At 35.7% G+C, this 14,251-nt stretch overlaps 1 protein-coding gene across 17 annotated transcripts in view; it reads right to left on the reverse strand.

Annotated features, from left to right (window-relative positions):
* The window catches only part of KIAA0825, a 467,754-nt gene that overhangs the window by 315,517 nt on the left and 137,986 nt on the right, over positions 1-14,251 (reverse strand). For all 17 annotated transcript variants that reach the window (XR_948246.3, NR_169751.1, NM_001145678.3 and 14 more), the window contains 4 exons: positions 10,744-10,838; positions 6,925-7,152; positions 5,099-5,364; positions 3,594-3,744 (listed from right to left, as the gene is read on the reverse strand). Coding sequence is in view for 15 of the 17 variants with exons in the window: in NM_001145678.3 (NP_001139150.1) it covers positions 3,594-3,744; positions 5,099-5,364; positions 6,925-7,152; positions 10,744-10,838 (740 nt within the window). In the remaining 2 variants the exon portion in view is untranslated. The remainder of the gene's footprint in view (positions 1-3,593; positions 3,745-5,098; positions 5,365-6,924; positions 7,153-10,743; positions 10,839-14,251) is intronic.

Genomic DNA, 14,251 nt, shown 5'->3' on the forward strand with positions numbered 1-14,251 from the left:
CGAGTTCAAATGGGAGGGGACTTTGGCCACTGACTTCTGATTTCCTAATTAGATGTGCATCTAAACTCTTTAAGAAAAAAGAAATTACACACCTGTAATCCCAGCACGTTAGGAGGCCTAGGTGGGCGGATCACGACGTCAGGAGATCGAGACCATCATGGCTAACACTAAGAAACCCCGTCTCTACTAAGAAACCCCATCTCTACTAAAAATACAAAAATTAGCTGGGCGTGGTGGCAGGCGCCTGTAGTCCCAGCTACTTGGGAGGCTGAGGCAGGAAAATGGAGTGAACCCGGGAGGCAGAGCTTGCGGTGAGCCGAGATCGTGCCACTGCACTCCAGCCTGGGTGACAGAGCGAGACTGTGTCTCAAAAAAAAAAAAAAAAAAAAAAAAAGATAAAAGAAATTACAAAATTAATGATGAAGCAGCAAAATTATAGTTTCTTATGCTTTCTTTGTCATGTGTTTTGATGAATACTTTTTAAACCAAGAAAGGAGTTTTAACGCTTGGTTCTCTCATACCCTTTGTGTTGCATATAAATTTAAGCAAAACTGACCCCAGTTGATAGTGACTAGCATGAATGATTTACACTAACTTTCCCTATGGCAATGGGTCAGTTCTTATTATAACGTGATCAAAATGATTTCTCATATTCTTCAAAATGTTAAAAACCAATTTCCTTAACAGCTACCATTTAGTGATAAATGAGAAAATAAAAGTAACTTTGGGCACACAGATTTCTTCCCTTAAAAGTAAAAAATACTCATTTTAAGACTTTTTAAAATATAAACTTCATGTTTACTTTAAAATATTTCAAACAGGTCTTTGTTCTAACAATTCTTTTTAAATTCATACAACTTCAATGTATGCAAGGGTTTTCATTAAACTAAATGTGGTTCATTTATTTTTCTGACCTGTTTCCTTATTTGTTGTCATTTCAAAAGTATTCTGCTAGTAAACATCTGTTATTTTTGCAAACCCACTATGATGTAAACAGATGTGAGCTTTTATTTAGATTATATATCAGGAAACAAGCAGCTGGGCTTTATTATAGAAGCCACTCAATATTATCTTTGAACAGACAATTCTTTATTCTTTGACTATTGGAAAACACAAGTTCCTAAAACTGAGCAGATGTCAACCATCCTAAAAGCTTAATTTTAAACATGTAATCTGAACACCCACTGTGCCATCGTGACCAGCACCTCATCAGAGAGATACAGAACTCTGACTCTCTCAAGCTGACAGTTTAGAAAATGGAAATAATGTATCTAGATCTCACTTGCTATCACAAAACATGAGCAAACATTGCTGCATATCTTGTAAATTATTTTACTATTTCTTTACTATGCTCTGCGCATGGCGATAGGTTCCCTTGAGATCTCTATCCTACCCTTCACCTCCAGTCAGGCAGATATCATCTTTTTCCCTCTCAAAGCAGGCCTGCCAAAAACATACTAGTCCTGTTTCACAAAGCAGTTGGAATAATGGGGAGAGCAGAAGAAAGGGGTGCAGTAAGCAAGATAAAACCATGTCAGGTACTCCAGTTGTCAAAACAGTTTAAAATCAGTGCTATTTTTAGAAGGTTCTTATTTTTGATACACAAAAAAAGTATCACTTTATTTTTCTGAGAATAAATAACAACCACTAACTCTGCAATTAAATTGTAACTACTGACCATGTAAGTATATGGAAGCTACAGTACCATGTAATCACAGGGTAACTATCTGGTTATTTCCGTCTTTGAAGCTAAAGCCTTGTCATAAGATCTAAGAGCTGCATGTTACATGGTAATTTGTTGGTTTTTAAAATACTTGGTAACTTCAATAACAGGTTCTCAATGCATCCACTTATTTACACTGTACAACTCTTCTAGCTCCCAATTTGCATAAGAGGAAACATAATACCCCTATGTTGAACATATAGTGAGATGATACCTGTTCTTCACGGAAAACATCATATAAAATTGCTCATTAGTAGTACACTGACATACTGAAATAGTTTGAAACATGAGATGGATTCATTTTCAACCACTCTGTTTACTTCAAGGCAAATAAGGAAAATATGATGCTGCCAGGAGAGGGGAAGACCAATACTTTAATTCTTATCTCAGGCTACCAGCTGCACCATACCACTTTCTCCTTCTCATTCTGTTTGCTGCTTCCATGACTGTTTGAAGTATGTCAGGTTTGGAAAACTCTATATGGATGCTCTTGCAAAAAGAAAAACTCTCTGGGAAGGGCCTCTAAAGGAGAGATGAAATGGCCTTAGAAAAAGTGGAAAGTCCTTTAAGAGAGCTTCTTATTAGCTGCTCCTCTCTGTTGTAGCAACATTTATTATGATAATAACTCGGGCATAAATCAAACCACAGGAACCTTCAGTGCCTGCGAGGTGACAGGAGCGATTCTGATGAATAAAACTCCACTCTGTTTTTCTCAATACTCTATAGTGATTAGGACAATCAAGAAAATGAAAATCATAAACTTCAATCTAGAGGAAAGGGTAAAATGGAAAAGTTAATGAAACTAGGCATGGCTGTTGAATTTTTTTAAAAATCCTGATTACCTTTTATTAAGATATTATAAATGTTTCACCCTGCCCTGGAATCAACTTCAAGGAATTTCAAATATTGTGGTCTGCACATAATCAATGAGATTTAGGTGAAGGGAAACTAATGAAGCTTGATGATGAATAATTTTAATTGATCCTGGGTCTGGCTGCACTGGGAATCATCAGGCTTCAATTTGGGATTTCAAAACATGGCTAAATGAAAATAGGTAAACTATAACTGATCAGATGACTGTTCTTTTTTTTTTTTTCTGAGATGGAGTCTAGCTCTGTCACCCAGGCTGGAGTGCAGTGGCTGGATCTCAGCTCATTGCAATCTACGCCTCCCGGGTTCAAGCCATTCTCCTGCCTCAGCCTCCTGAGTAGCTGTAATTACAGGCATGCACCACCACACCCAGCTAACTTTTTGTATTTCTACTAGAGATGGGGTTTCACCATGTTGGCCAGGCTGGTCTCAAACCCCTGACCTCAAGTGATCTGCCTGCCTTACCCTTCCAAAGTGCTGGGATTACAGGCGTGAGCCACCGCACCCGGCCTCAAATGGGTCTTAAAGCATACTCATAAGAACATATGATGAGAAGGAAAAAAATAAGTATAAAGAATAAAGCTGCTTAATAAAAGGTATTTATCAAACACATATGGAAATGTATAACAAGAAAAAATGCAAGGATATCCATAACTAATTGGTCTCTTTGGAAAAAATGCAAGGTTGTAGCATTTTGGCATTGTTATCTCTTTGAGTTTTCATTGTATCCCATTATATTCCAACTATGCTGCACTACAACCTTGCAGCTCAAATTAAGTTATTTTTACTTTTAAGCAGAAGGAGAGTTCTGATGTCTAATTTATTTCAGGTTTTTAAAAACACTGTTTTTCCTAAGTATGAATTCAATATTTTAAAAATATTATCCTAACAGCCTTCGGGTATTAGTAATGCCAAGCTCATGTTTCTAATTAGCCAGAAAGCAGGTACGCAGTAAAACATATTTGTGTAAAAAGGAGGGATAGTAAACTTAACTTCACACCTCATAAAAAGCTTTGTAGTCATCCCAGTGGTGGCTCTCAGCATCCTGTAAAATGCTTGTAGCACAAACTCTGACGCAGTAGTTCGTAACCTGAAACTGTAGAGTGTTGATGAATTCCTGATATCGTTGGACAAGCACCAGGAATATGGGTCTGTTCAGAGAGAATGATCAAAGAGACAGAGATTTAAGGCCTGTGCAGTAGGAGATAACAATCTCCAGTACTACAAATGGTTTTGATTATTAGATATCAATCATTCATTTCCTCTTAATGCTGAAGTCTGCATCCACATTCACTTTCCAAAAAGGAAAAAAAAAAATAAAAAAGCTGGTCTTTGTTTTGCAAGCCCTTTGAAAACGTACATCTGCTGTTCTACAAATACGCACTTCAACTTGAGACAAACTGTATTGTCAATACATCATTCAAAAATGAAAGTATTCTTTGTAAGCCTGTTATTAGAGATCAGTGCATTATTTAGGCATTAGGTTATTGTTTTTACTAGAGAACAACATGCACTTGTCAGAACCAACTTTTATAAAGCTATCAAATGTCCCACAAACACATTCTTTATTTTTAAAAATTGTAATTTTGTAGATATCAATTATCTCATAAACTGTTTTTTAAAATTCTACAGAAATATTAAATAAAATGATTTCTGGCACATTTTGTTTATAAATTCAAGCATGAATCACAACATCTGACTACTTATGAGAATTAAAGAAATATCACAGTTATACCCTACATCAAGCCAAATTTATTCTACTTTTATCTTTAGCTATGAATATCACACTGCTTTCTTTCATAACTAACGGACTGCAAAGGCTGGATAAAGAATATAGAATAGATTCTCGGGGTCACACAGGACTGCTAAGTCTACGTGTTTCTTTTGCAAGAAGCCATGTTATATCTAGACAGTGTAAGGGCAACAAGAAAGACCATATGATAATTAATGCCTGTGGTCATTTTTATCTCTACACAGAAAACATACTGCAGTTTTAGACTACAGATACATGAAAATTAGACTGCCAGATGCTTCCTCTTCAAATATTATACTTTACTACTAAATGGCTGTCCTGAAATATGTTTACCTTGATCATTAGAAGAGATTACAATGCATTTATTTTCTAAGTCCGCTCCACGAGACAACAAGTTTATTTTTCCTTTTCAGTGTGGTCAGTATAATGCACCTTACAAAACGAAAGGGTGTGTTTATTCATGTAATAACAACATGCGGAAAATAGTTGCGCTGGGTTAGGGTGCAGAAAATGCGTGGGTTTTTGAGTGTGCCTTTAGAGATAGTACTATCTTACTATCTATGTATCTAGTTTAATATATCCCATGCTCCACCTTTTTGATATTTCCTAGTTAAGACAAATGAAAATAATTCACCTTGTTAATTATTATTTTCTCTTTCTCAAATCTTATTACCAAAATTTCATTCCTGTGATATCCAAAGATTACACGTTTCTTTAAGCGTGGCCATCATCTTAATTTAAACAACACTCACTTTTTAGTCATTTCCTTCATCAAATTATCATATCGCTTGAAATGCTGGAAGACATACACCGCTGTGGAGAGGTATGTGTGCAAGTTTTTCAGGGGTGCTTTGGAAGGAACCTCCTTGGCTCTCTCTTGCAGTCTCTGCAGGACAGCTGTTGCCACTTTACAACAGGCCTCCACCAAGTTTGCTCTAATTTCCTGAAAAGAATCATCTCTGCATGCCAGAGCCAGTGGAAGCATTGTGTCAAGTTTTTCCATGATGTCAGAACAAAACTAGGGAGAAATAAATGTGGCACTGAGTTATTTGTATTCTGACAGCACCAAGTAATTTATGGACAGTGGAGCCAAATTCCTAAATAATGAATTTGGCATCAAACATAAATATAATGACGCAGCTTTGTAATAATCGATTTCTCAGTTGTAGAAAGTTAAATGTTTTATGTCAAATAAGGAAATACCAAAACAATGCTTCTCTCTATATAACTTTCAAACCTTATGCTTACCAGACAGACATTAGGAAAAACTCATGAACCAGCTATACATGACAATACCTTTATCTGTAGTTAGTAGGACTCAGAAAATATATCCTTGATATTGTATAATATCAAGAAAATGTATCCTTCATATTAACGTTTGCATTATTTTTTAAACTTATTCTAATTTTCTTTTGCTAAATTGCCATAAAGGGTTTTTAAAAATTAAATGCCACATATAAATGTCAGTGCAATTTAAATAATTTAGAAGAATCAGAAACAGTCTCATGTAGCATCTTCTTATTGGTAGGGTGTCAGCAACTTTTAGAAGTGATGAGTCTAGCCTTTCCCAATTTATTATGTATCTTCTCTTCCTTAATGGCAGAAGGGAGGTGTGATGAATGGAAAAGTAAAGCCTATCTCCACATTGGATCAGTCAACACAGTTACCTAGGGAATGTTCTGGAGACTTAGAGTGACTGTGGCAGAATAAGGAGGTCATCGTCAAAAATTCTTTTAAGAATATCCCAATCGGCCGGGCGCGGTGGCTCACGCCTGTAATCCCAGCACTTCAGGAGGCTGAGGCGGGCGGATCACAAGGTCGGAGATTGAGACCATCCTGACTAACACGGTGAAACCCCGTCTTTACTAAATATACCAAAAATTAGCCGGGCGAGGTAGCGGGCGCCTTTAGTCCCAGCTACTCGGGAGGGTGAGGCAGGAGAATGGCGTGAACCCAGGAGGCGGAGCTTGCAGTGAGCCGAGATCGCGCCCCTGCACTCCAGCCTGGGCGACAGAGTGAGGCCCCCGTCTCAAAAAAACAAAACAAAACAAAAAAAGAATATCCCAATCATAGGTTGCTGAAATCATTCTGGATTTAATGCCAAGTGACTGTATTTACCTCCTATTTTCTCAGTATGTTCTGTGACTTTCAAAGCACATATGGAGATGTAAGACTGATACTAATGAGATGAAAAGCTCATTAAGGTGAATGAAGATTTTTTTAAGTGCCCAAAGCTAGAAAAGACAGCACTTCCTTCAACCTCCTAAATTTTCCTGGAGTCATTCAAACGTATAATCAAAACAGGTGGTTTTCCCAGGGTTTCCCAGCTCCCCATGAAGTCACAGAGGCCCCTTTTTGGTTGCCTCAGATTCATGGAGCAACAAGTTAGCACCAGGTATAAGTCCTTTCGGGCAGCAGTGGCCCATGGATACCACTGAAGAAAACTGGTACTGGGTCAAGTACCAAGTACTTGCCAAGGGACTCCACCATTTGATCTACAGGTCCTTTTTGCAATGCCTTATACTAAAATAAATCCCATCATGCCAGTCAGCAGTTTGAAAGGATTTCATATACTTGCTTTTCCAATTTTCTTTGGTTGTTCCTCCTCAGGAAACATATGGCTGTCTTGCCAAACTTGCTGGACATTTACAAGGTTCATAGCATAGCTCACAGCTGAAGACCTTTCATTCTGTTCCTGTTGGAGAATTTTTGTGGAAAAACCTTCAATTGCAGTTACTACGCAGTGCGCCATGGGAAGAGACACTTCTTTAAATGCACTTCTCCAGCCAAAATCTAGTAAGGTAGCCTGAAATATCAATGTATATGAAGTCATGTTAATCTTAACTCAGCAACAAATGTTTCTATTGTTATAGATATAAAATTATTACTTTCATTCAACATGTTGAATATATTCTTTGATATACTGTAAAAGCCATTCTTACAACCTAAAAAATATTACCTAGTGAATAAAGCAATATACAAAAACATGTGCATTCTTTACACACAGTAATATACTGACATTTCATTTTAATTCATCAGTAGATTTAATAAAAAACTTTTTAAAAAATTTAATCTCTTAAATATAGTTCAATAAAGCCATCTTTACAAGAACAGAAAGCTACAGTTACTATTTATCACATAAAACAACCTTTAAATTCAACATATTTAATAAAGTCTAAATTAGATTTTTATAGTCTTTTTTATAGTTTATTGTTAACAAGTATTGCAACATAAGGCAGCATTTAATATTCAACTTTCATTTCTTTTTCACTCACAGAACTCCAGACAAGCCAAAAAATAGCAATAAGAAATAAATTTCTCAGAGAAAACATACCACTGCACTTCCTAGATTTTTACTTGCTTAGAATTTTAGTCTCTCCAGCTGCAAAGTCATAAGCAGCACTACTTTTGTTCCAAGAATGAAGAATTAAAAGAATCTGCACTGTTCTATTGTGGTGGTTGGGGGGGTACTTGGAAGGGAGTAGAAGGGGTTGAGCTACAGTTGAGGGGCTGATGTTTTCTTTTTTCCTTTGGTCTATGGCTCATAAGGCAATATATTTATGAATGTATATTTTCTCCAGGTCTCCTAACATTCTCTAAAGTTCAAAAGCATTATGGGTAGCAGGCTGAACCTATGCTTAGGATTCAACTTTCCCTGTTTTAATGTAACTTTGTTTACAGTAACGTGCCACCTACCCCAACTTCAGAAAACCCTGAGCTCCATGTCCCTGACTGAATCACTTATTTTTCTTGATCTCAGGGGTTTTTTTGCTAGAAAAACAACAGAGTTGAATTGTATGATTTCTATGGTCCCTTTTATTTTAAAATTACTGAAATTATGATCATAAGCCTAATTTTCTTATATGTACAACTCATTCAGCAATAATTTATTTTTTCACATATACTGTACAAAGTAATAAAGGTGATTCATTTTTTAGAGCTAAAATTATATGATTCCATGACTCTATAATCAGAAACATGGCTCTTGCTCTCATTACGCTCATAACTAAATTTTAACGGAACTTTCTGAAGATTATTTGGATCTCAAGCATCAGAGGGCCTAAAACACATCTCTCTTATCTTATATTTGCATAAAATTCATCAAAAATCATGCCAGTAATCCCAGCACTTTGGGAGGCCAAGGCGAGCAGACCACTTGAGGTCAGGAGATGGAGACCATCCTGGCTAACACGGTGAAACCCGGTCTCTACTAAAAATACAAAAAATTAGCCGGGCGTGGTGGCACGTGCCTGTAGTCCCAGCTACTCAGGAGGCTGAGGCAGGAGAATCGCTGGAACCTGGGAGGCGGAGGTTGCAGTGAGCCGAGATGGCACCACTGCACTCCAGCCTGGGCAACAGAGCGAGACTCCATCTCAAAAAAAAAAAAAAATTCATCAAAAACTGAATCTGCTCAACTGATATAATCTTCTTTCTTATAAGAGAACTTGGAAGTGGCATAGTTATAGCCCTGTGCTATGACAGTAATTCCTTGGGACACATTTATGAAAAAAATGTAAAAATAAAACTACCTCCATGAAAATTCAAACAAAAAAATTCTGATTTTTGTTTTCCCTATCAGGGCATGTCTATTTACTAAAGTCATTCATTTATTCCTTCAAGCAAATATGTCCTAGTGGAAAATGTCATTAATTGCCATGGCTGTATTGAATTTTTAAAAATTTTTTGGGCAGTGAAAGTTACCTTTGCCCATGATAATATACATGTAATTATAATATGTTGGCCTATCTGAATTCTCTTTTCAAATATAGAAAAACAAGTACATTAACAGCTGCTCTTAAAAAGAAAACTGAAGGCCAGGCATGATGGCTTACGCCTATAATCCCAGCACTTTGGGAGGCCGAGGCAGGCGGATCACCTGAGGTCAGGAGTTCGAGACCAGCCTGGCCAACATGATGAAACCCGGTCTCTACTGAAAATATAAAAAATTAGCTGGGCATTGTGGTGGGCGCCTGTAATCCCAGCTACTTGGGAGGCTGAGACAAGAGAATCGCTTGAACTTGGGAGGCGGAGATTGCAGTGAGCTGAGATTGCACCACTGCACTCCAGCACGGGTGACAGAGTGATACTATGTCTCAAAAAAGAAAAGAAAAGAAAAGAAAAGAAAACTGAAAACCTTTACTTATTCAAACCTCCAATAGTTTATTTGTTCTTATGAAATATAGTTTGCTTACTTCTACTCTTCTCATCTAATATTTGGCATCATACATATTCCATTTAGACTAGAGAACACTTACTAGTTGTTCCAAGAAAAAACAGAATCACATGGTTTTCTCTTCTATGCACGAAGTAGATAATCTGTTGAATCTCTATTTCTATTATTTAGTGCTCATTTCTTAGTACTGATTTTGATTTTTGGTTAAAGCATAATATATAACTTAGGATTTTCCCGATTATTAAAGGCGAAAACTCTGTTAAAACTATGTGTTGTTTTGTCTCTTTAAATATTTACCTAGTGTATCAGTCAGGGTCCATTCAAAAAGCAGAAACCACTCAAGATTTTTCAAAAGGAAGAATTTTAATGTAGGGTTTTGGTTACCTGCATGATGGAAGATTTGAGAAGTCAAACATGGACTGTGAAGCAGGCCAGATATTAATGGAGCAGGAGGCCGCAACCACCCCTAGGGCTGGAGGAATTTAGAAAAGGGACTAAGTTATGGAAGAGTAGCTCCTGGGGCTACCAGTCGAAGCTAAAGCCCAAGCAGACCTGCCAGGTAGAACTGAAGTCATGCAGGGAAGGCTGCATGGTGGGAACAGGGCTCAGGGTGGAGATAAAGGTGTCACAGCCATTATCAGAGATGTTCCTTAAGACAGAGAGAGGAGAAGAAAGGCTCTGATTTCTCTGCAACTCCTATGCTCCATCAATGCCTTCCATGAGGTCTTCCATCAATGCCTTTAATTGGCTAAACCGTCCCAGAATCCGAAAGCAAGGGGGCCTGGAAAGTGTAATTCTCTACAATCTAGAGCAGAGCAGAGTGGTAACAGGTTTTGGGACCAAACAATCACAGGATGGGGATCAAAAATATGAGGCCAGTTGAGATGATTGTTTCCTTTTCCTTTTTAATCTCCATTTTCTCGCTATTCGACAATTATCTATAGCCCACATCCTCTAAGTGCAGGCCCTGAGTCAGGATAATAACAAAGATCTCTTGAGTTCCATCTCTCTATTCCTCCCATGGAATAGATTTTATATGAAGACAGCATCCCCACTAAAGTGAATTCTCATCAAAAACTTATAAGCCAATTTTCAATCCAAAATTGAAAAATTATTTTTTTGTAGCAAAGGGTAAAACTCAAGACATCTTGATTCATAATGGATTCACAGGCATATGATGATATTATATGTGAATTATAAAACACTTCTTTTTCCTTCACTTACCTCTTTTCCTGGTAGTGATTGCTCGGAAGGAATATTGGTTTCGTTTGCTCTAGGTTTTTCCATTACAACCTCTCTATCGGATTTCTCCAAAATTCCTAAGCAATAGAAAAGAAAACAAACACACTAATATATATTGTTTAAAAAGCATACTAGATGTGATTTATAAATTCAGGTAAATATTAACTACGTAGAAAAGTTCTATCCACAGTACATACATACATATACACATCCACAAATAACAATATATAGAGAATATAGTCAAAAAGATGGAGGCTGATGTCACCATTACAATAATGACAGAATCAAGATAGATAGAGTCCTTTTTCACATAAAACTTGATGAAATCTACATCCCAATTACATTCATTTTTGATGTACATAAACGTATAATCTTCAAAATAAAGATTTTTGTCATTAGTTTATTTTCAGGTTGATAATGTAAGAGGACAAAATAAATATTATTTCCTTGTTCATTTAAAAAGTTAATTCTAAAGTACTATATTTTAAAAATGGTGGTATTTCCTAGCATGTTAACTTCAAACAAAGAAGAAAAATACATAAACATCAGCATAACGAGAAAAATTATACCCTTAAGCATATCAACGATTCATTTAAAAAACACAAACTCTGAGACAGGCATAAAATAATCCCTAGTTCCGAAAATGGAAATATTTCCACAACTTTTGTTTTTTACAATTAAGAAACTCTTTTCCATGGGAAAAAAAATTTGATCTATAAAAATGTAATAAATAACTACTCCAAAATAAATCTTTCTACTTTTCCATTAAGATTAGATTAATGATAATTTGATTCAGTATGAATAATTTAAGGTTTACTTTTTTTGGCTTAGACATGGTGTATGATGATGAATTCTATGTTATGATCTAACTTTTCTTTTTTCCCCATGATTTACCAAGAATCAATTTCTTTATGCCTGGGCAAAGCAAATTTCAAAATCTAACTGTCTTTATCAGTAGGGATTCTGACCAATAGAGTCATCCAGTAGATGCGTGTTTTCTTTTCCTAAATCTGGCTCTATGAACTTAATTGTGAATGATTTCTAAGGAATACAGTTGATGAAATAGAAGTGTTTTGTTCTGATGTTAATTTCAACCATCTTGTGCATAAAGTGCGTTAAAGGTAAAAATTCCATTTGGTTGGCAATAACATCACTATTTTGGGAAATTTTATCAGAGTTTACATATTCTGAGGAAAAGTTTTCATCAACTCTAGTATTTCTTAATCATCTTTGGATTTGTGAACACTCTAAGAACATGATTAAAGTGACAGAACACTGCAAACAAAAATGCATAACATGACTGTATGGCAGGCACATGTGCATCACACACACACACACACACACACACACACACAAATTGGGGATTTCCAGGCCCTCTTGTAAATCTCATTAACTAATCCAATGGACTGCAGTTTAAGAATCCTATTCCATTTCTCAAGACACATCACAACACAGAGAGGGTTTTAGACTCAAACAGTGTTAGACCATTTAACTTAAAATGATTTTTTATGGCTTGTATTTTATGATGTATTTTCAAGAAGATAGTGTTACAAATAAGGATCACTTCTAATTGAAATAAAATCCAGATTAGTCAAAGATTTTTAAATAAAGAAAAATGCAACTATAAGCTCATTAAAAGAAAATATGGAAATTTTTTTAAAAGATCCACATAGAGAAGACTTTTCAGGACATGAAATGCAGAAACCATAAAGTAAGTCTGCACAACAAAAATACCATCAACTGTCAAAGTAGATATGAGAAGCTGACTTGCCAATCTTTCTCAAAATGTCCACTTTCTGAAAATTAATAGTTTATTTTTTAGCAAAGTTTCCAGTTTACAAAAAAATTGAGCAGAAAGTACAGAAAGTTCACATATACTTCCTCCCTGCCCTTAGTTTCCTCTACTGTTAACATCTTGCAATATATGGTATATTTGTTACAGCTGGTAAACAAATATAAAAATATTATTATTAACTAAGTCTACAGTTTACATTAGGGTTCACTCTTTGTGTTGTGCAATTCTATGGGTTTTGCCAAATGTATAATGTCATGTACCCCCCATTACTCTGTCACACAGAATAGTGTCCATGCTTTAAAAATTCACTTTGCACCACTTACACATCCCTCCTCCCCATAACCCCACCCTGGTACCCACTAATCTATTTGCTGTCTTTATAGTTTTGCCTTTTTCATAATGTCATATAGTTGGAATCATATAGTATGTAGCCTTTTCACATTGGCTTCTTTCGCTTAGTGATATGCATTTAAGGTTCCTCCATGTCTCTTAATGGCTTGACATCTCATTTCTTTTTATCGATGAATAATATTCCATTGTATTGATGTACCAAAATTTGTTTATACATTCACCTACTGAAGAACATTTTAGCTGCTTCCAAGTTTTGGCAGTTATGAATAACGCTGCTATAAACATTCCTGTGCAGGTTTTTGTACGGATGTAAGTTTTCAACTCATTTGGATAAATACCTACGAGTGCAATTGCTGGATTGTATGGTAAAACTATGTTTAGCTTTGTAAGATACTGCCAAACTGTCTTCCAAAGAGCCTGTACCATTTTGCATTCCTAACAGCAATGAATGAGAGTTGTTCCACATCCTTGCCAGAATTTGGTGTTGTATCTGTTTTGGATTTTAGCCATTCTAATAGGTGTGTAGTGTCATCTTGTTTTAGTTTGCATTTTCCTAATGACATGATGTTGAGCATCTTTTCATATGCTTATTTGCCATCTGTGTATCCTCTTTGGTGAGGTGTCTGTTCAGATCTTTTATGAATTTTTAAATTGGGTTGTTTGTTTTCTTGTTGAATTTTAAGAGTTCTTTGTATATTTTGGATACAAGTTCTTTATCATATATGTGTTTTGCAAATAGTTTTTTCTTAGTTTGTGGCTTATCTTTTCATCCTCTTTCTGATCATGCCTGTTTATTTAGCAATTCTACTTTTGAAATTTACCATCCAGATATAGTCGTGTACATATAAGAAATAATTAAGGAAATTTGCCATATAATGTTTTGTGGTAGCAAATGAAGAGAGAAAAAAATCCTAACTGTCCATCAATGAATAACTGGTTAAATTATGATACATGCACCAATGGAAAACTATTCCTCTAGTAGAAATAACAAGGTGTTTCTACATTTTCTAAATTGTTATAAAAGAGAATTTCTACATAGTATGACAAGGTTTTGAGTTATTTTTAACATGGAGGTATGTATGAAGTAGTTACTCTTTCACCCTATTTAAAAGTTTTCAGTTTTTTAGAACAGAAAAAATAATAAAGATCAAGTTGTTAATGACAAGAAGGGACAAAGTTGGATTCTGAATGTCACTTTACTTTTCTATAGATAGCTCATTTAGAAGGTATTTACTTTGGAAAAATAATACTAGATTGAAGTATAAGCTTTGCAGATCTGTTTCTGGAAGTAACTGTCTGCTATTGTGTAGCTATAGTTTAAGACTTACGGAAAAAGTTAATTAT

The sequence above is a fragment of the Homo sapiens genome, chromosome 5, assembly GCF_000001405.40.
Source record: "Homo sapiens chromosome 5, GRCh38.p14 Primary Assembly".
NCBI classification, from domain to species: Eukaryota; Metazoa; Chordata; class Mammalia; order Primates; family Hominidae; genus Homo; species Homo sapiens.